This window comes from Homo sapiens, chromosome 17, assembly GCF_000001405.40.
Source record: "Homo sapiens chromosome 17, GRCh38.p14 Primary Assembly".
NCBI classification, from domain to species: Eukaryota; Metazoa; Chordata; class Mammalia; order Primates; family Hominidae; genus Homo; species Homo sapiens.
In genome coordinates this window covers 80131232-80150537 of record NC_000017.11, presented here as the reverse complement: position 1 = coordinate 80150537, position 19306 = coordinate 80131232, and the positions used below count along the sequence as shown (strand labels likewise).

General features: G+C 46.6%; 1 protein-coding gene across 2 annotated transcripts, besides 8 other annotated features; it reads left to right on the top strand.

Moving 5' to 3' along the window:
- Nucleotides 1329–2041: an enhancer, noted in NCBI's record as "H3K4me1 hESC enhancer chr17:78122296-78123008 (GRCh37/hg19 assembly coordinates)". NCBI's record gives its function as "activates a minimal SCP1, AML or CMV promoter by ChIP-STARR-seq in naive H9 embryonic stem cells {active_cell/tissue: H9 hESC(naive)}" and the evidence as "EXISTENCE:reporter gene assay evidence [ECO:0000049][PMID:30033119]".
- Nucleotides 2042–2755: an enhancer, noted in NCBI's record as "H3K27ac-H3K4me1 hESC enhancer chr17:78121582-78122295 (GRCh37/hg19 assembly coordinates)". NCBI's record gives its function as "activates a minimal SCP1, AML or CMV promoter by ChIP-STARR-seq in naive and primed H9 embryonic stem cells {active_cell/tissue: H9 hESC(naive and primed)}" and the evidence as "EXISTENCE:reporter gene assay evidence [ECO:0000049][PMID:30033119]".
- Nucleotides 2752–2941: a silencer, noted in NCBI's record as "silent region_9101". NCBI's record gives its function as "represses an Ori minimal core promoter by ATAC-STARR-seq in GM12878 lymphoblastoid cells {active_cell/tissue: GM12878}" and the evidence as "EXISTENCE:reporter gene assay evidence [ECO:0000049][PMID:35858748]".
- Nucleotides 2752–3468: a biological region, named in NCBI's record as "H3K27ac hESC enhancer GRCh37_chr17:78120869-78121581".
- Nucleotides 2756–3468: an enhancer, noted in NCBI's record as "H3K27ac hESC enhancer chr17:78120869-78121581 (GRCh37/hg19 assembly coordinates)". NCBI's record gives its function as "activates a minimal SCP1, AML or CMV promoter by ChIP-STARR-seq in naive H9 embryonic stem cells {active_cell/tissue: H9 hESC(naive)}" and the evidence as "EXISTENCE:reporter gene assay evidence [ECO:0000049][PMID:30033119]".
- EIF4A3 (eukaryotic translation initiation factor 4A3) lies at nucleotides 3410–16169 on the top strand. 2 transcript variants are annotated; one of them, NM_014740.4, is made up of 12 exons: nucleotides 3410–3745; nucleotides 6294–6366; nucleotides 8690–8756; nucleotides 9157–9219; nucleotides 10398–10530; nucleotides 10788–10868; nucleotides 11376–11517; nucleotides 12258–12396; nucleotides 13037–13152; nucleotides 14203–14310; nucleotides 14407–14534; nucleotides 15032–16169. In NM_014740.4, exons 1-12 carry the CDS (start codon nucleotides 3577–3579, stop codon nucleotides 15046–15048), a joined length of 1236 nt encoding a protein of 411 aa, NP_055555.1. In that variant the 5' UTR covers nucleotides 3410–3576; the 3' UTR covers nucleotides 15049–16169. The 2 variants fall into 2 exon arrangements, with proteins under 2 accessions (NP_055555.1, NP_001398028.1); NM_001411099.1 differs by lacking the exon at nucleotides 9157–9219.
- Nucleotides 3469–4183: an enhancer, noted in NCBI's record as "H3K27ac hESC enhancer chr17:78120154-78120868 (GRCh37/hg19 assembly coordinates)". NCBI's record gives its function as "activates a minimal SCP1, AML or CMV promoter by ChIP-STARR-seq in primed H9 embryonic stem cells {active_cell/tissue: H9 hESC(primed)}" and the evidence as "EXISTENCE:reporter gene assay evidence [ECO:0000049][PMID:30033119]".
- Nucleotides 3782–3831: a silencer, noted in NCBI's record as "silent region_9100". NCBI's record gives its function as "represses an Ori minimal core promoter by ATAC-STARR-seq in GM12878 lymphoblastoid cells {active_cell/tissue: GM12878}" and the evidence as "EXISTENCE:reporter gene assay evidence [ECO:0000049][PMID:35858748]".
- Nucleotides 16815–16980: a silencer, noted in NCBI's record as "fragment chr17:78107357-78107522 (GRCh37/hg19 assembly coordinates)". NCBI's record gives its function as "represses an EF-1alpha promoter that drives an FKBP-Casp9 reporter gene in an ReSE screen in HepG2 liver carcinoma cells {active_cell/tissue: HepG2}" and the evidence as "EXISTENCE:reporter gene assay evidence [ECO:0000049][PMID:32094911]".

The window sequence follows — 19306 nt, the reverse complement described above, 5'->3', positions numbered from 1 at the left end:
CCAGGGCCCCTCAGCCTCTAAGAAAAGAGGCCTCTTGGTCACAAAGGTGGACAGACCCATTAAGCTCTGGGTGAGCAACCCCGTCTCCAGCACCTCATGTCCCACAATGTTTGTGTGTTGGGGAGGGGTCCATCTCACGCGATTAATCTCAAGGCAGGAGAGCCCATGTCTGTTTTATGCCCCATTGTTTCCCTAGAAAGCATCGTTCACCCAGAGACTGCAGCAAACCTCAGCAGCTCTCATCATTGTCACATTGTCATAGACTCTGGGCTAAAAAGCTACTGCTCCCCAGAAAAGTTAGAGCCCTTTAAGATGTGTGTTCAGACACCTGGCATAAACAACATTTCCAGAAAAATGGTGTAAAATGTTAGATCATCTAGTCATAAAAATATGAAGGAAAACAAATCTAAGCAGTTTGTGGATTAGATTTTAACTTTGAACAAGGTGAGAGGCCTGGTAGCTCACACCTGTGATTCCAGCACTTTGAGAGGCTGAGGTAGGAGGATCGCTTGAGCTCCTGGGCTGGGGCCAGGATGTACGGTCCTCAGTAAGGCTTCTGAATAAAACTAACTTTAATTCTTTAAAAGCTTAACTGTTTTTCTTTAGTCAACAAGGTATTTTACATTCTTCTCCTACGTTAAGTCATTGAAATCTGTGTGTATTTTACGACAAAGCGCTACAGCACGGCCTGGCAAACAGTGTGAGGCACGAAATGATCCTTTGTAGAGTGAGGAAGGTATCAGAACTTACATTTTATTCAGCTTTATAAATATTTAATATTTTGGGTAACACCAGCATCCTTACAAGGAATGTTTATCAGAAGGTCAATTATCTGTCATGGATAAATTCTGGTGCCAGAATGAGATTCACTCTTGGAGAAGGCTGCATTTACTTGTTCACCCTTGAAATACTGCAATCCACCGACTTCTTGATAAAAGGATGCTCTGGTTTTCTGTTTATTTTTGAGATGGAGTCTCTGTCGCCCAGGCTGGAGTGCAGTGGCGCAATCTCGGTTCACTGCAACCTCCACCTCCGGGGTTCAGGAGATTCTCCTGCCTCAGCCTCCAGAGTAGCTGGGACTACAGACACCCGTCACCACGGCCAGCTAATTTTTGTATTTTTTTTTTAGTAGAGATGGGGTTTCACCATTTTGGCCAGGCTGTTCTCGAACTCCTACACTCATGATCCGTCTGCCTCGGCCTCCCAAAGTGCTGGGATTACAGGCGTGAGCCACCAGGCCTGGCCAGGATGCTCTGGTTTTAACTAAAATTAACCTTCATAAAAGGAGAGCTTTTCAAGCACTCCTAGAAAGAAGCTGTGGATTAAAGATGTGCCCAGCGATGCAAGCCAGATTTGTGACCATAAGAAAGGACAGGACCGGGCTCATGCCTGTAATCCCAGCATTTTAGGAGGCTGAAGCGGGCAGATCATGAGGTCAGGAGTTCAAGACCAGCCTGACCAACACGGGGAAACCCCATCTCTACTAAAAATACAAAAATTAGCCGGGCGTGGTGGTGCATGCCTGTAATCCTAGCTACTCAGGAGGGTGAGGAAGGGGAGTCGCTTGAACCGGGAGGCAGAGGTTGCAGTGAGCCAAGATTGCGCCACTGCACTCCAGCCTGGGGAACAGAGCGAGACTCTGTCACACACACACACACACACACACACACACACACACAAAATAGCGGGGCGCGGTGGCTCACGCCTGTAATCCTAGCACTTTGGGAAGCCGAGGTGGGCGGATCATGAGGTCAAGAGATCAAGACCATCCTGGCCAACATGGTGAAACCCGGTCTATACTAAAAATACAGAAAATTAGCTGGGCGTGGTGGCGCGTGTCTGTAGTCCCAGCTATTTGGGAGGCTGAGGCAGGAGAATGGCGTGAACCTGGGCGACAGAACTTGCAGTGAGCTGAGATCGCGACACTGCACTCCAGCCTGGGCGAACCGAGCAAGACTCCGTCAAAAAAAAAAAAAAAAAAAAAAAAAAAAAAGGACAGAGCTGGCGCTCGTGGAAATACAATTTTCCCAAAGTTAAAAACATGATTCTCAACAGCATGAACTGCCCTTCAAAGATGATGGAGCTGCTTCAAAAGGCGTTAGAGGAGCTGGGTACGAAGAAGCACTTAAAGTGTCAGATAAGAAAGCGGTTAGTGGCTGCGCGTGGACACCTGTGGTCCCAGGTGCTCTGGAGGCTGAGGCGGGAGGATCGCCTGTGCTCGGGAGGTGGAGGCTGCAGTGAACCGAGATCGCGCCATGGCACTCCAGCCTGGGCGACAGGGCCAGACTGTCTCAAAACAAACAAACGAACAAACAAAAAGCAGGTTAAGATGCACAACTGGTTAAAGTTCTGCTGGGCAATTAAAAAATGATCCCGTCTGGGTTATCTTTGCTGCAGGACACGCATTAGCAGCACCGTCTACTGACAAGTGGCCTTCATTAAGAGCAAATTGCAGGCTCAGCATGTATTTTATTTATAACAGCTGCTTGCCGGGCACAGTGGCTCATGCCTGTAATCCCAGCACTTTGGGAGGCCAAGGCAGGCGGATCACCTGAGGCCCCGCAGTTCAAGACCAGCCAGGACAACCCTAACCCCCGCCTCCCCCAACCCCGTCTCTACAAAAAAATTTAAAAAATTAGCCGGGCGTGGTGGCGCGCGCCTGAGGTCCCAGCTACTCCAGAGGCTGAGGCGGAGGCTACAATGAACCCTGATCCTACCACTGCACTCCAGCCTGGGCGACGGAGCGAGACCCTGTCTCCAACTCACCAGGCAAACGGTGAAGACACACCCAGGCGCGTCCCCTAAGAGGGACGCCGGCTTCAGGGGCCCTGGCCCTCCCCAGCGCAGACCCGCCGGAGCCCAGCGCCGCGCCGGGGCCCACCACCGGCGGCCGTGAGGGTTTCCACTCGAATCTCCCCGGCGAGCTGGGCGCCTCCACTACGGGTCTGCGACGCAGTCCACCCACTGCGGGCCCGAGAGAGGACCCGTGCTCGTCATTTTTATTCGAGGCGGGGCTATCTGGGGACCCCGCCCGGAGCGGAGGCCCCTCGCGGCCCCAGCCTGTTTCCAGGGAATTCAGGTCCACACGCCGCTCAAAGAACCTCAGCGCCCCAGTCCGCGAAATCCCGCGGCCGGTACGAAACACCGCCAACTTTAGAAGTACCACCCCCTCCATCCCTTTCGTAAGGAACTGGGTGCCCCGCCCTCAACGAGATCCCGCGGGAACTGCATATGGCGCGAGAGCAGAAACACCTTACTTTTCCCTGCGGCAAACGCCCAGTTCCCTTTCACGTGACGAAGAGTGCCCCGTCCCCCAGAGGCGTGGCCGCGTCGCGCGTACGCACGTACGCACGTACGCACGCACGTCTCTCGCTTTCGCATACTTAAGGCGTCTGTTCTCGGCAGCGGCACAGCGAGGTCGGCAGCGGCACAGCGAGGTCGGCAGCGGCACAGCGAGGTCGGCAGCGGCACAGCGAGGTCGGCAGCGGCAGCGAGGTCGGCAGCGGCACAGCGAGGTCGGCAGCGGCAGCGAGGTCGGCAGCGGCGCGCGCTGTGCTCTTCCGCGGACTCTGAATCATGGCGACCACGGCCACGATGGCGACCTCGGGCTCGGCGCGAAAGCGGCTGCTCAAAGAGGAAGACATGACTAAAGTGGAATTCGAGACCAGCGAGGAGGTGGATGTGACCCCCACGTTCGACACCATGGGCCTGCGGGAGGACCTGCTGCGGGGCATCTACGCTTACGGTGAGCGGGCGCGGGCCGCGGGGGCCAGCCGGGGGCGAGTCGGGGGCGAGCCGGGGGCTGAGGGCCAGACTGGTGACTCCCGGGCCGGCCCTGCGCTCCGGAGGTCGTGGTCAGGGTCGAGGCTCGGGGGCCAGTGACGTCCGACCCCCACCCCCACCCCCGTCCTCGCCCTCACGCCTGGCTGTGTCGGCGCTTTCGGTGTGTGTCCCCCGTGCAGAGCTCGGCGCTGGGTCTGTCGGGGGCTGCAGCCGCTTCGAGGCACCTCAGCGTCCTTCATTCAGCAGATAACTGATTTCTACCTATTAGCTTTTCTAGGTACTGGGGTTTTGGCGGTAAACCGGAAGGGTTTGCGCCTTTACGGGTTTTGAATTTCGTTTGGGGGGAAAGCATACTGTCAGGTTGCCCAGGCAACCTGAAGAACCTGAAGCGGGGTAATTGAATAGAGTGGGACTGGGAAGGAGGAGAGAATTAGTAAAGCAGAGAGGTAAGGGGGTTCGCAGGAGGGGGTGCCATTTGAGCAGAGTTCTGGATGAAGGAGACTGTTATGAGAAGAGGGAAGAGCAGTTGGGGCAGAAGGAACAGCTGGTGCCAGGGCCTTGCAGCCCTTAGCCAGCTGCATTCCAGGAACTGAAAGAAGTCCCCTGTGGTGGGATTTTGGAGAGCTAGTCGGGGCAGATCTAGCAAAGACGTGTAGGGTGACGAATAATTTGAATTTCATTTAGAAATCTAGTGGGAAGCCAGTGGAAGGTTTTAAGTAGCTATGTGACACGATCACATTTACAGTTTTAAAGATTCTTCTGGGTGTCTGTAGATTTGAGGTGAGGCGAGGCAAGGCAGGAGAGGAAACAAGAGAGTTGGGAGCTTTTGCTGCAGTTCAGGGAAGAGAGGATTGTGCTGCCTTGGAGATGGAGTACCAGGGAGCTGACAGCATTGGCTGATGGATTGAACGTGAGTGACAGAAGGAGGAGAGTTGGAGTGTTTTGAGTAACCGGTGGTTGATGCTGCAAACATTTGGCTAGGTAGGCAGCACTCCAGAGAGTCAGAATCAGGAGCTGTCTCTTGGTATGTTTGAAAGATGTGAGGAAGTTGAGGGAGAGCCTGGAGAAGAGGTTGGGTTGGGCACATAGATGGGAATGACCAGCATCTGGGATAAATGGCCTGTGTTTAATGCTTGGGACAGGGACATTTTTTATCCTGTAGTTCTCTTCCTTTTCTTTCTTCCTTTTCCTTCTGACAGTCCTGCTCTTGTCACCAAGGCTGGAGTGTAGTGGCATGATCTCAGCTTATTGCAACTTCCACTTCTGGGGCTCAAGCGATTCCTTTGCCTCAGCCTCCCGAGTAGCTGGGATTATAGGTGTGGGCCACCACGTCCTACTAATTTTTGTATTTTTAGTAGGGAGGGGATTTTGCCATGTTGCCCAGGCTGGTCTTGAACTCCTGACCTCAGTGATCCACCAGCCTCAGCCTCCCAAAGTGATGGCATTACAGGTGTGAGCCACCCCACCTGGCCGTATCCTGTAGTTCTTGATGCCACAACAGTTTGGACAAAGTGAAGCGAAGTTGCTGAGGATGCGTGGTGAAAAAGCATCTCAGGCAGCCTCACAGTGAGGCTGACAGCCCCACCTGGTTTCCTGGCACTCAGGCAGTCCCTGCCCTAAGACACTGTTGTTAGTTTCCCATCTATGTGCTTGCTCTTCATGAAGAGTTTAAATCATCTGCTATATTTGCATTTGTGTTAAGATGGGAAATTGTGCTACATTTTCTTTTGTTTCTTATTTTTCGCTATGCCCCAGAACTGAGCAGAGCTACATTTAAGAGACTACCAAAAAATAATTGAAATAGAGTTTTTGTACATAAAATTTTATTTACTTGAAAAACACGTGGTTCTTCTTCAAAATAGCCTCACCCTTTGGTGTAGTAGTTGCTTTGCAAGAGAGATGGTGTGATGGTGTTGTAGTTAGTGAGCTGCATCCAGACAGAACAACATAGGACACCCTGCAGCGTGACCCACGCAGGTTAAACAGAGTTGTAGACCTGTCAGCAACACACAGACTTAATGCTAGCTAGTAGGAGAGAACAATGGCTAGAGTGACTTTCCTGTTTTTTTGTTGTTTTTTTTTTTAATTTAAAAAGTAGTATAGGTTGTTTGTAATCCAGTCAAACCTAAGGGAGTAATTAGAGTAAAAAGTAAGTTTCTTTCCACCCCTCTACTGCAGTAACTGCCAGGAACATTTTGGCACTTACACTTCCAGATGCTGCACACCCAGATTTTTTTTTTTTTTTAAACAAAACTGTTGTCTATATTCTACAATTTGGTGGTTTTTTAAAAATAGAGATTGGTCTTTACAAATAATATCCCACGTTAGTGTAGAAATCACTCAGCCCAATTCATTGAGCCCCTGGGTTTTGAGAGCTTGCTATGTTGAACACTGGGTTAGGCTGGAGGACAGGTTCAAAAAACAAACCATGTCTGCCCCTGAGGAGCTCACAGTACAGGGTTTCTATGCTGTCATTGTGGTGAGGGCTAATTTTTTGTTTTTATTTGCAGGTTTTGAAAAACCATCAGCAATCCAGCAACGAGCAATCAAGCAGATCATCAAAGGGAGAGATGTCATCGCACAGTAAGTTGTCCTGGGGTGCGGCGCAGGGCTGGATGTAAATTTGGGCAGCGCAGTGCAGTTAGATGCTCTGGGATGACTGTTTCCCTCAGCTTGTACACGCTCAGTTCCAACACTTTCCCTGACTTTAGCCACAGGGTTTAATACTTTTTTAAATTTGTGTTCTCTACTGTGGAAAGCTTTCATTTTCTTTTTGAGATGGAGTCTCGCTCTGTTGCCCAGGCTGGAGTGCAGTGGTGCCATCTCGGCTCACTGCAACCTTTGCCTCTCAGTTTCAAGCTATTCTCCTGCCTCACCCTCCCAAGTAGCTGGGATTACAGGCATGCACCACCATGCCCGACTAATTTTCATATTTTTAGTAGAGACGGGGGTTTCACCATGTTGGTCAGGCTGGTCTCAAACTCCTGACCTCAGGTGATCCACCCTCCTTGGCCTCCTAAAGTGCTGGGATTTCAGGCATGAGTTACTGCGCCCGGCCAAGGCTTTCATTTTCTTAGCCAGCTTTGCTTAGTGGTTTGCTGGCATGTGGAATTGTATATAACACAATTTCGGAAAAACAGACTGTGCTTTTCCTCTGCTCTCACACCACCACAACAGTCATCAGCACAGAAGAAGACTTCTGTGAGCAGAGGTGTGGGGCTTTTCCAGCTGGGTGTCCTCCAGTTCAACTCACACCACCTGCCTGGAGATAGGCCATATCCTGCAGGTTGACGGCTCAGTCCCCATGACTACCCTCTTTTCAGACACCAGTTATAAGTTCGGATCTCTAGAACTTCTGACCAAGCAGCTTCAAGTTGGGTTCCCAGGATCCCCTCTTTAGGTTGGATTAATTTGCTGGAACAGCAGCTCAAAGAACTCAGGGAAACACATTTAGTGGTTTATTATAAAGGGTACTGCAGAGGATACAGATATGGGGGGAGGGGTGCAGCCTCCAAGGGGCGGGTGGTCACCTCCCGGAACCTCCTTGTGTTCCACTGTCTGTGTTCAGCCATCTAGAAGCTCTTCGAACCCAGTCCTCTTGGGTTTTTATGGAAAATTCCATGAGGTCAGCATTCTTTCCCCCATAAGGGAATAGGGCAGGAGCTTTTCTGGGATAATACCATAATGCTTTTTAAAAAAAAATTTGAAATTTAAATTTTTTACATTTTTCGAGACAGGGTCTTACTCTGTCTCCCAGACTGGAGTGCAGTCGTGTGATTACAGCTCATAGCAGCCTCAAGCGATCCTCCCACCTCACCCTCCCAAGTAGCTGGGACTACAGGCACACATCACCATGCCCAATTAATTTTTGTATTTTCTGTAGAGACAGGGTTTTGTTGTGTTGCCCAGGCTGCTCTCAAACTCCTGGCAATCTGTCTGCCTTGGCTTCCCAAAGCCTTGGGATTACAGGCGTGAGCCACTGTGCCCGGCCTAAACATTTTTTTTGTTAAGATATGGGGCCTCACTTCGTCACCCAGGCGGGAATGCAGTGGTGCAGTCATAGCTCACTGCAACCTCTAACTTCGAGGATTAAGGAATCGTCCCGCCTCAACCTCCCAAGTAGCTGGGACTGCCAGAATGTGCCACCGTTCCTGGTTAGTTTTTTGTTTTGTTTAGAAATGGGGTCTCTTGCTGTATTGCCCAGGCTGGTCTCGAATTCCTGGCTTCAATTAATGCTGCCTCTGCGTCCCAGAGTGTTGGGAATACAGGCCTGAGCCACCACGCCGTGACATGAGGGTCTTTATGACTCACAATCTGAAAGGCAGGGAAGATTAGAGCCCTGCTGTGGAGCAGGTGAAAGGAGAGCAGAAGGTCAGAGAGATTGTTTCCTGAGGCCTAACCCATCAATTTAATAAGACTGTAATAAGGGCTATGGGAGCTGTGAGCCAGGAACTATGGATGAAAACTTGTATATAGCCATATCTCCTAGCACCACAAATCCTCTTTTAATAGCTTTATTCCTCGTTTGCCTAATTTCAAAAAAGACTCATTTACACAAAAATTTCTTTGGAAGAGAGAGTTAGTCCAAAATCCTAGAAGGAAAAGAGTTGTATTTAGATAAAGGGGAGTCCTCCTTTTTCTGACACCTATGAAACACCTCTTGAAGTTAGAGAGTCTGTGGCTCCATTGCCCCCGTGCAGAAGCCATGTCTACTCTCTTTCTTCATGGACACTTAACAAGCTGTGACACTGGGCCCGAGTCCTGCCTCCTCGCAGTTAAGATGTTATTAGGTACGGGGGCTTGCTGGAAGAAGGTACCTAAGTGCCTCTGGAGCCCAGGCCTTGGAGTGCAGCTGTGGCGTGGCCTGTCCTCCCTCTAATCCCACTGCTTTTGTTTCCTTGAATAGGTCTCAGTCCGGCACAGGAAAAACAGCCACCTTCAGTATCTCAGTCCTCCAGTGTTTGGATATTCAGGTAATTTGCCATTCTTAAAACAAACTGTTATGTAATTCTAGGAAATACTTGCTTTTTCTTCTGTAACTACAGTGTTCAAAAAGTACAATTTAAAATTTTCTAGTATGTATTGACTCAGCAAATTTTTACACAGAGTCTTAGTTGTACACTAATATATGCACTAATATTCTGTCATGATTTTCTATTTAACTAGAGGAAGCTCTTGTCTGCAGACGAGGATGCTGACACATTAAGTTATTGTTGGATTTGCAATTTAAATGACAATATTTGCTAACCTGTAAGAGATGAGAAGTATGATTAATATGAGATAGTATTTCTCATATAGATCTGAGTGTGAATTACTACAATCCACTTTGATAATACTGCGGATTCTCTATTTTCTGATAAATTATTTCACCAGGTTCGTGAAACTCAAGCTTTGATCTTGGCTCCCACAAGAGAGTTGGCTGTGCAGATCCAGAAGGTGAGATGGCTAAAGATAGCGGTGTCCGATTAACAAGTACTGCTTTTGTGATTTAGTTGTGAAACACCGACTTATTTATTTAATCCAATCCTGTTTTCTGATACCTCAAAATTTTCTTCCTGATTAACATTTTGCCATTAATCATTATATAAATTGCTGGTTTGTATTAAGTCATTTTTGGTGTGGCTTGTGTGCTCTCGGTAGTTTTTTACAGCCTTAGAAATGTAGATTTTTTGCGAAAAATCAATTTTAATAAAAATAAATTAGGTCGAGGTGGGTGGATCACCTGAGGTCAGGAGTTTGAGACCAGCCTGGTCAACATAGTGAAACCCTGTCTCTACTAAAAATACAAAAAATTAGCTGGGCGTGGTGGCAGGCGCCTGTAATCCCAGCTACTTGGGTGGCTGAGCAGGAGAATCACTTGAACCCGGGAGGCAGAGGTTGCAGTGAGCTGAGATTGTGCCGTTGTACTCTAGTCTGGGCAAGAAGAGTGAAACTCTGTCTCAAAAAAAAAATAAATTGTACCCATTTTATACTTAACGTAGTATAAAGATGTATGTTTAAAAAGATGTATATTAAGATGTTAATGCTGGTTTCTTCGGTGGATGGGATTATGAATTTTATATATTCTTTTCTGTTAATGATATAGCTTTTGTAATAAGAAACCAGCAGGCCGGGTGTGGTGGCTCACGCCTGTAATCCCAGCACTTTGAGAGGCTGAGGCAGGCCAATTACGAGGTCAGGAGATAACGACTCTCTGAATACACATATAGGGTGCACACAGCACGGTGTGCTAACACGGTGAAACCCCATCTCTACTAAAAATACAAAAACAAAATTAGCCTGGTGTGGTGGCGGGCGCCTGTAGTCCCAGCTACTCAGGAAGCTGAGGCGGGAGAATGGCGTGAACCCTGGAGGCGGAGCTTGCAGTGAGCTAAGATTGCGCTGCTGCCCCCCAGCATGGGCCACAGAGTGAGACTCCGTCTCAAAAAAAAAAAAAAAAAAGCAAAATTAACTTGTTTTTGTCAGAGAAAAGAGCAGGAGAATTTTGTGGTTTCGAGATAATAATGGCATAAATAATAATCGGTGATCATCTCGGAGGAGAAACAGTCTTTCTTTTTGGAAAACGTGGATGTTTCTCTCTCCCACCCTGGACGTGAACCTGTGCTTTGTTTCAGGGGCTGCTTGCTCTCGGTGACTACATGAATGTCCAGTGCCATGCCTGCATTGGAGGCACCAATGTTGGCGAGGACATCAGGAAGCTGGATTACGGACAGCATGTTGTCGCGGGCACTCCAGGGCGTGTTTTTGGTAAGCACTTTTGTCGCTAAAAATGGTGCTGCCGGTAGTATTTGTAAGAAGTGCTTAAATGGTACAGGACAGCTTTCGATTTGGTAGGCCGCACGGTAGACTTTTGCACCTGGGTCACTTGCAGGAGGTAGAGGGAAGGTCTCTGGAACCCTGAGACCAGTGGAATGATGAGCTCTTTCTTGGGAGCCTCAGGTGTGATTATTTCAAAATCTCATAGATGTGATTTGTCGTAAGTATTTCAAAATCTCATGTTATAGATATGATTCGTCGCAGAAGCCTAAGGACACGTGCTATCAAAATGTTGGTTTTGGATGAAGCTGATGAAATGTTGAATAAAGGTATGAGCAACAAAAGAATTACTCTTCTACTGACATAATTCTTAGTTCTTAAATTTTCACAGTGTAAAATTGAAACAGCCAGTGACTGTTCTGAATGTGAATAGTGTTTTCATCGTGGAAAAACAATTGTGCCTTGGCAATTATGAACAAAAAATTCCTACCTTGATTTTATTTATTTGTTCATTGTGGGTGACTCAGGCCAGCCTCTATTGCTTTTTATTTGGTATCTAGGACTCTCGGGGTGGGTTTCTTGATCCCTAGATCACTTCAGATTGAAGAAGCACCAAAGGGAAACCAGATTCCCTCAACCAGATAACACTCCGGTGGGCGGGGAGTAGGGACGGAGAGAACGCGTGGATGTGGCCTGGTGCTGTAAAAATGAGATTTCCTGTCAAACGTACCTTATCACCACTCTGCCTCTAACCCAGTGGGAACACTGGGCGTGCACCTTCCATTTCTGGGTGTGCCGCCCTAAACATCCCTCACCTGTCTTGCTCCCTGTCCCAGGTTTCAAAGAGCAGATTTACGATGTATACAGGTACCTGCCTCCAGCCACACAGGTGGTTCTCATCAGTGCCACGCTGCCACACGAGATTCTGGAGATGACCAACAAGTTCATGACCGACCCAATCCGCATCTTGGTGAAACGGTAGGAGCCCCTCTTGTCAAGTTTACTAAAACACTGGGCCGCATTTATAAAGGATTTTATGTCGTAATTTCAAAAACTTTTTATAGCCAGAGTCTGGCTGTGTTGCTGAAGCTCGTGTCAAAACCCGGACCTCAGGCTATCCTCTTGCCTGAGTGTAAAGGAATTGAAAGCATGCAAATTCTTTTAAAATTCCTGTTTTAAAAAACCAAATAGGCTGGGCAACATATAGAGACCGTATCTCTACCAATAATAAAAAATTAGCCAGGTAGGGCGGCACATGCCTATAGTCCCAGCTACTCAGGAGGCTGTGGTGGGAGGATCGCTTGAGGTCAGGAGGCTGAGGCTGCAGTGAGCTTTGATTGTGCCACTGTACTTCAGCCAGGGCAACAGAGCAAGACCCTGTCTCAAACAAAACAAAACAACCCATCTTTTATAATCCTCATTGTGGTTTGAACCAATAATTCTAAATTTAAAAATTAGGTGACTATTTATTTATCAGTGTTTCGTTTAGAATCGTATTCCATGTGGTGCACATTGTGAAATGTTAAGTAGGATACAGAATGGAGGCCTGTGTGACGGAAGTGGTGATAGGATGGAGGACAGGGCTGGGGCTGCTGGGTCTGCACCAGATATCACGGTGTGACCTTTTCCACCAGGGTCTCCCTGGATCCTGGCTTGGCCCACCCTCAAGTCCTAGAAGGAAGGATGAGTATGTAACAGGATTTGTCTTTGTCCTTCAGTGATGAATTGACTCTGGAAGGCATCAAGCAATTTTTCGTGGCAGTGGAGAGGGAAGAGTGGAAATTTGACACTCTGTGTGACCTCTACGACACACTGACCATCACTCAGGCGGTCATCTTCTGCAACACCAAAAGAAAGGTAAGAGGCACTGCACAGCATCCATGTGCTGAAGGGAAACTGCAGATTGAGTCTCTGAATGACATAAATCAAGATTTTTCAGTAAAGGGCCAGTTTGTCCATATTTTAAGCTTTCAGGGTATGTGTTCTCTTGTAAAAGCAGCTGTAGACAATATGCAAACGGTCAGACGTGGCTGTGACCATTAAAACTTCATTTACAGAACAGCGATATCAGCCACCCCTAAAGATTCAGATTTCGTTGGCTGAAGGTGGAACCCAGGCCTGAGTAGTTTTAGATCCCCAGGTGATGGTAATGTGGAGGCAGACCTGAGAACTGTCGGCCACTTTCCTGAGAAAGGAAAGGAGTTGGGCTACATTCTAACAAGATTGGAATTCAAATTTCAAATGAGAATGAGCACACCTGGCCCCCTCCCCCCATAGAGTCATTATATGGAGAAAATGAAGTAAGAGGGTTTTGTGAGTGCACCCCAACATTTTCTGGGAAAAAGTTTTTACATCCAGTTAGGATGATTCTGAGTTTTAAGAGCAGTTACCTTACGAATATTGATACTGGTTCTGCAAATGATGCGGTAAAGTCCCGAATGCACATCTCTGCTTTGGTATACTAGCTTGCAGTAGCATCTGTTGATTGGATTTGTAGGTGGACTGGCTGACGGAGAAAATGAGGGAAGCCAACTTCACTGTATCCTCAATGCATGGAGACATGCCCCAGAAAGAGCGGGAGTCCATCATGAAGGAGTTCCGGTCGGGCGCCAGGTGGGTCTGCTATGCTGTGGCTCTGCAGGTCAGGGTTTGCTAGACTGTGTCTAAGCACTTCATATGTACCGCCTAAGTGCAGGCCCCACACCCGGGGGGATGCCAAGCTTCTGCTCTGAAAGCTGAGGCCCTGGGTGAGCAGAAAACCTTCCAGTTAAGGAGGGGTCCGCTGTGCTCCTGTAATACTTAGGTTGAGGTGATAACTAGCCTTAACTAGCCAGGTTGGTCACCTTGGTTACAAGCGTGTGTCTTCTTTTCCAGTAAGTAGGGGGGTTTTCTGTTCATCGTTTCGATTAGTTTAATTCCACAGTGGTCAGAAAGCGTGGATTGGGTGGTTTCATTCATTTGAACTTGATTCAGACTTCCTTCTTTGCCCACCTTGTGGTCAGCTTAACATATGTGCTGTGTGTGTCTTTTTTTGTTTGTTTGTTTTTGAGACAGTCTCACTTCGTTACCCAGGCCGGAGTGCAGTGGCACAATCTTGGCTCACTGCAACCTCTGCCTCCTGATTTCAAGTGACTCCTGTGTCTCAGCCTCCCGAGTAGCTGGAATGGCTAATTTTTTTTTTTTTTTTTCATTTTTAGTAGAGATGGGGTTTCACCATGTTGGCCAGGCTGGTCTCGAACTCCTGACCTCAGGTGATCCATCTGCCTCAGCCTCTGGCAGTGCTGGGATTACAGGCATAAGCCGCCGCCATGCCCGGCTGAAGTTACCGTTTTTAATTTTTTGCTAGGCAAAAGTGAAGTATTTTTCCCAATTATTGGTTTAGGACCGATTAAACAAGTTAAAGATAGTCTAGTAAAAGATGTCTATTTTTTTAATCTGATGGAGCACATGACCGAAGTAACTAAATCCACCAACAGCCCCTCTGCACAGGGGTTTCTGGTGCTGTCCCTGAGGCTTCACGTTTGCAGACAGACTGTTGAGAGAGGAGAATCTCGTATATTTTGGACCTGCAGCCAGGATTCCTTAAAATTAGCAATGGAAGCAAGTCCAGTCTTACACTTGTATGAGTAATTTAATCGCCTCAAACACTCTTTCTTTTTGCAGCCGAGTGCTTATTTCTACAGATGTCTGGGCCAGGGGGTTGGATGTCCCTCAGGTGTCCCTCATCATTAACTATGATCTCCCTAATAACAGAGAATTGTACATACACAGGTAAGGTGCAAGCTCTCATTGGCTTCACTTCTGTGACACATTTACTAAATCTTGATTGTTATATATACTAACTGTAATATTATTTTATTCCTGAAGAATTGGGAGATCAGGTCGATACGGCCGGAAGGGTGTGGCCATTAACTTTGTAAAGAATGACGACATCCGCATCCTCAGAGATATCGAGCAGTACTATTCCACTCAGATTGATGAGATGCCGATGAACGGTAGGAAATCGTCCAGCTCTACTGTAATTGTAGAGGGAACTTCCCTATTCTTAGTTTGGGGCACCTGAGTTTGTTTTTTTGTTGTTGTGGGTTTTTTTGTTTTGTTTTTGAGACGAAGTTTCGCTCTGTCACCCAGGCTGGAGTGCAGTGGCGCGATTTCGGCTCACTGCAACCTCTGCCTCCTGGGTTCAAGCAATTCTCCTGCCTCAGCCTCCTGAGTAGCTGGAATTACAGACACGTGCACCATAGCCAGCTAATTTTTGTATTTTTAGTAGAGACGGGGTTTCACCATGTTGGCCAGGCTGGTCTCGAACTCCTGGCCTCAAATGATCTGCCCACCTCAGCCTCCCAAAGTGCTGGGATTACAGGCGTGAGCCACTATGTCTGGCCTGTTTTTTGTTTTGAGAAGTCTGTTGTGAGGTTTTAGTTAAATTTACGTTAACAAATTTTCATTTTGTTTGTGTTGTTCCTTAATCTGTTTCTTTCTTCACTTTCAGTTGCTGATCTTATCTGAAGCAGCAGATCAGTGGGATGAGGGAGACTGTTCACCTGCTGTGTACTCCTGTTTGGAAGTATTTAGATCCAGATTCTACTTAATGGGGTTTATATGGACTTTCTTCTCATAAATGGCCTGCCGTCTCCCTTCCTTTGAAGAGGATATGGGGATTCTGCTCTCTTTTCTTATTTACATGTAAATAATACATTGTTCTAAGTCTTTTTCATTAAAAATTTAAAACTTTTCCCATAAACTCTATACTTCTAAGGTGCCACCACCTTCTCTAGTAACTTACTGTGTAGTCTTGGGTCATTTCACTCACTTTTCTTTTTTTCTTTTCTTTTTCTTTTTTTTTTTTGAGACAGTCTCCCTCTGTTGCCCAGGCAGGAGCGCAGTGGCGTGATCTCCTCTCACCGCAAGCTCCACTTCCTGGGTTCATGCCATTCTCCTACCTCAGCCTCCCACGTAGCTGGGAGTACAGGCGGCCGCCACCATGCCAGGCTAATTTTTTTGTATTTTCAGTAGAGACGGGGTTTCACCGTGTTAGCCAAGATGGTCTCGATCTCCTGACCTCGTGATCCACCCACCTCGGCCTCCCAAAGTGCTGGGATTACAGGCGTGAGCCACTGCACCCGGCCCATTTCACTCACTTTTCTAATCTTTTTTTTTGGAAAGAGTTTCATCGTTGATGAGTTTTGCTCTGCTGCCCAGGCTGAAGAGCAGTGGCACCATCACAACTCATTGCAGCCACAACCTCCTGGGCTCAAGCGATCCTCTCACCTCACCCTCCTGAGTAGCTGGGACTACAGGTGCATGCCAGCACATCTGGCTAATATTTAAATTTTTTGTAGAGACAGGGTCTCACTTTGTGGCCTAGGCTGGTCTGTCACTCATGGGTTTAAGTGATTCTCCCATCTTGGCCTTACAAAGTGCTGGGATAACAGGTGTGAGCCACCATGCCTGGCCTCATTTTTCTAATTTTTTTTTTTTGTTGTTTTTTTGAGAGCCCAGGATCTCCCTGTCGCCCAGGCAGGAGTATAGTGGCAGGATCATGACTTACCACAATGTTGACAAACTAAAACAGATAATTATCTGTTTAAATATTTAAATTATTAAAGTATTTAAGTTATCTGTTGAAATATTTAAAGTAATTACCTGTAGCTTTATAGGCACACAGCACCACAGCTGCCCAATTTTTAATTTTTTAAATGTTTTTAAAGACAGGGTCTCCCTCTGTTGACCAGGCTGGTCTTAAACTCCTGACTTCAAGCAGTCCTCCCGCCTCAGCCTCTCAAAGTGCTGGGATTACACACATGAGCCACAGACCGGGCTCTAATATTTGAAATGGAAATGTTAAAACTGGCCCCTCCCTTCCTGAAATTAGTTGGGATGATAATCTTTATTTCCGGGTTAGGGTGAGCTTGGAAATAATTTTTAAATTTCATCAGGTGATTCTACTTGAAGGCATCTGAAATTCTATAGTTTATGAATGGAACTTCCTTTCACTGAAACTGTGACTGGACCCTTGCTAGCCAGCTGGTGGCTGGTAGACCAGCTGCATCATCAGGAGTTGGTTAGAAATGCAAGTGCTCGGGCCCTGTCCTGGCTTGCTGAGTGAGAACCTGCAGGTAACAAGACTCCCAGGTGGCACTGCTGGCCGAGCGGGAGGAGCACGAGACTACAGGCCCAGGCAGCTTAATGAGTTCCTGGCAAGGAGGAACCAGATACAGGTGTGTTCAGGGCATTTGCTCAGCAGCAGTGGGGAGTGATGCCCACCACAGCTCTGGCCAGTGCCAGCCTCAATGTCCGTATCTGCAGGCGCCTGAGCTCACTGAGGCTCACCTGGTCTCATCAGGAGCTGCTGCCAGGCTTGTGTTAGAGGTGAGGAGTGGCTCAGGTTTCCACACAGTCACTCCGGAGGACGGAAGGCCTCCATTACCAGTAAGAATGATTCTAGATGAATAAGCACGTGGTGTTACAGTGGAGGAGGCAGCATTGGTGCCTTGGGGAGGAGATGGCAGGAGAAGGGGTGGGGCTTAAGCTACCCCACACACTGTCTAGGAAAGGTCATCCTAAAAGGAAAAATACAGCACAAGTGTTCATAAAAATGTCAAACTGTACTGACAAATCAGAAATGGTATGTGATTATCCAAGATTTAAAAACCACCAGTCCTAAAGGTTGACAAGGAAAGTTTCCAGACTTTCTGGAGAGCAGCCTGGCCCTTGGGCAGTCAGTGATGAAAATGCTATTTCCCTTTGGTGGTGTGTGGTTCTGCTGTAGACAGCTGACTGGAATGTGGACTTCTCCAGGAAGTTCAGCGTTGCTCCTGCCTATACCAGGGAAGGATGCTAAGTGCTCATGGATGGGGGCATGGTGCGGGACAGGGTGGAACATTTGCAGTGATGCTGGGAAGAGAAGGATACAAGAGGTAGAGAACTCATGGAGGTTCTTGGGAGGGTGGTTTGGGGCCAGGATCCTCCCAGAGTCCAAATGGAGTCAAGTTCAGGCAGGGGGTCTGCTGAGCCTTGCTAGGTAGGTATCACTGGGCCTCTGGTCAGGTGGAAAAACTGGCTCTAGATCCTGAGGGGCTTCCCAAGGTCCCCAGCAACTAAATCCAGATGAAAAACCCCTGGGTTATGTACTTCATTACAAAAGTATAATCTCACTGAAAAAAAACATACAAATGCATAATTTGAAAAAGTCATCCTTAATCCTCCTACCCAGATATAACTCACAATTTGATGACTGTCCATCCAGTATTTTAATTTATCTTGTACATCTACCTGTACATAAAGACCTTTTTAAGCAAAAATTGTAACCCACTTTGCCATTATTAACTCAGGTTTTTGCTTAGTAATGTATCATACATATTTCACTACGTTAAAAAAAAAAAAGCTACTTTTCCAGCCTCTATACCATGGCTCCTTTGGAAGCAGTTGAAGATTAATTAGAATAATCTTTTATTTGTTTATTTTTTTGAGATGGAGTTTCGCTCTTGTTGCCCAGGCTGGAGTACAATGGTGTGATCTCGGCTCACTGCAACCTCCACCTCCTGGGTTCAAGCGATTCTCCTGCCTCAGCCTCCTGAGTAGCTGGGATTACAGGTGCCCACCACCACACCTGGCTAATTTTTCATATTTCTAATAGAGTTGGGGTTTCACCATGTTGGCCAGGCTGGTCTCAAATTCCTGACCTCACGTGATCCTCCTGCCTTGGTCTCCCAAAGTGCTGGGATTAGGCATGAGCCACTGTGCCCACCCAGAATAATCTTTAGAAGTGATTTTCTTGATCAAGGTACATGTTTCAAATTAACGTTGCAGAAAGATTTTCCACCAATTTATACTCCTAATGGTATATTTTTTTTTTTTTTGTTTTGTTTTTTTTTTTTGGGTGGTTGAAATTTATTCAACAAATACATATAGGATGCCTTGTCTTAAAGCCAGGCAATTTTCCTAAAAGAAAAACCACATAAAAAGGGTTCTAACCAAGAGCTAGAGTGTCCTGACCCTTTGAGGTATGTCTAAAGTATAGAAATAGAATGGTAATGTTGATGCTGTTGGCATGTTTCTTTGTAGTAAGATTGTTTAAAATAATACATAGACATAAAATGTATGACGAAAATAGCACAGCACCGAAGAAAGGAGTAATGGAAGTATACTGTCAAGATTCTTACACTATTACTTGAAGGCAGATTGTGATGAATTAAAGATGTGAAACATATATAAAAGTGTTAAGCAATTTTTAGGTATGAACCTTTAAAGCAATACAAAAATGTGAAACAGAAATAAACAGCCAACGTAGGAGACAAAATAAGAGTTCTAAGGAATACTTAATCTAAGAATCCTGAAAAGGAAGGAAAAGGGAACAGAGAACTTACGAGATGGACAAATACAAAACGGTAGTAGGTTGAAAACAACCGTGTCAATAATTACATTTATTGCAGATTGTCTGTCTCACCTCAAACTAAAAGAAAAGCAAGCTAAACCCAAAGGAAGCAGAAGAAAGGAAATAATAAAGATGAGAGTAGAAATAAATGAATAGAAAAATAATAGAGAAAATCAACAAAACCAACGGTTCATTCTTTGAAAAGATCAACAAAATTGACACATCTTTAGCAAGTCTAAGGAAAAATAGGTTCAAATAACTAAAATCAAGAATGAAAGAGGTGATGGCACAGCCGACTGTACAGAATACAAAGTATCAGTGCCATGGATTGTTTGCCAACAGATGAACCTTGATAAAATGGAGAAATTCCTAGGACAAACAGATTAAATC

Bases quoted from the DNA above. Each gene is read 5' to 3' on its own strand.
- EIF4A3 (NM_014740.4), top strand. From the start codon at position 3,577: ATGGCGACCACGGCCACGATGGCGACCTCGGGCTCGGCGCGAAAGCGG. The intron at 9,220-10,397 runs GTGAGATGGCTA...GCTTTGTTTCAG, and splicing joins TGGCTGTGCAGATCCAGAAG to GGGCTGCTTGCTCTCGGTGA. The intron at 14,311-14,406 runs GTAAGGTGCAAG...TTATTCCTGAAG, and splicing joins AGAGAATTGTACATACACAG to AATTGGGAGATCAGGTCGAT.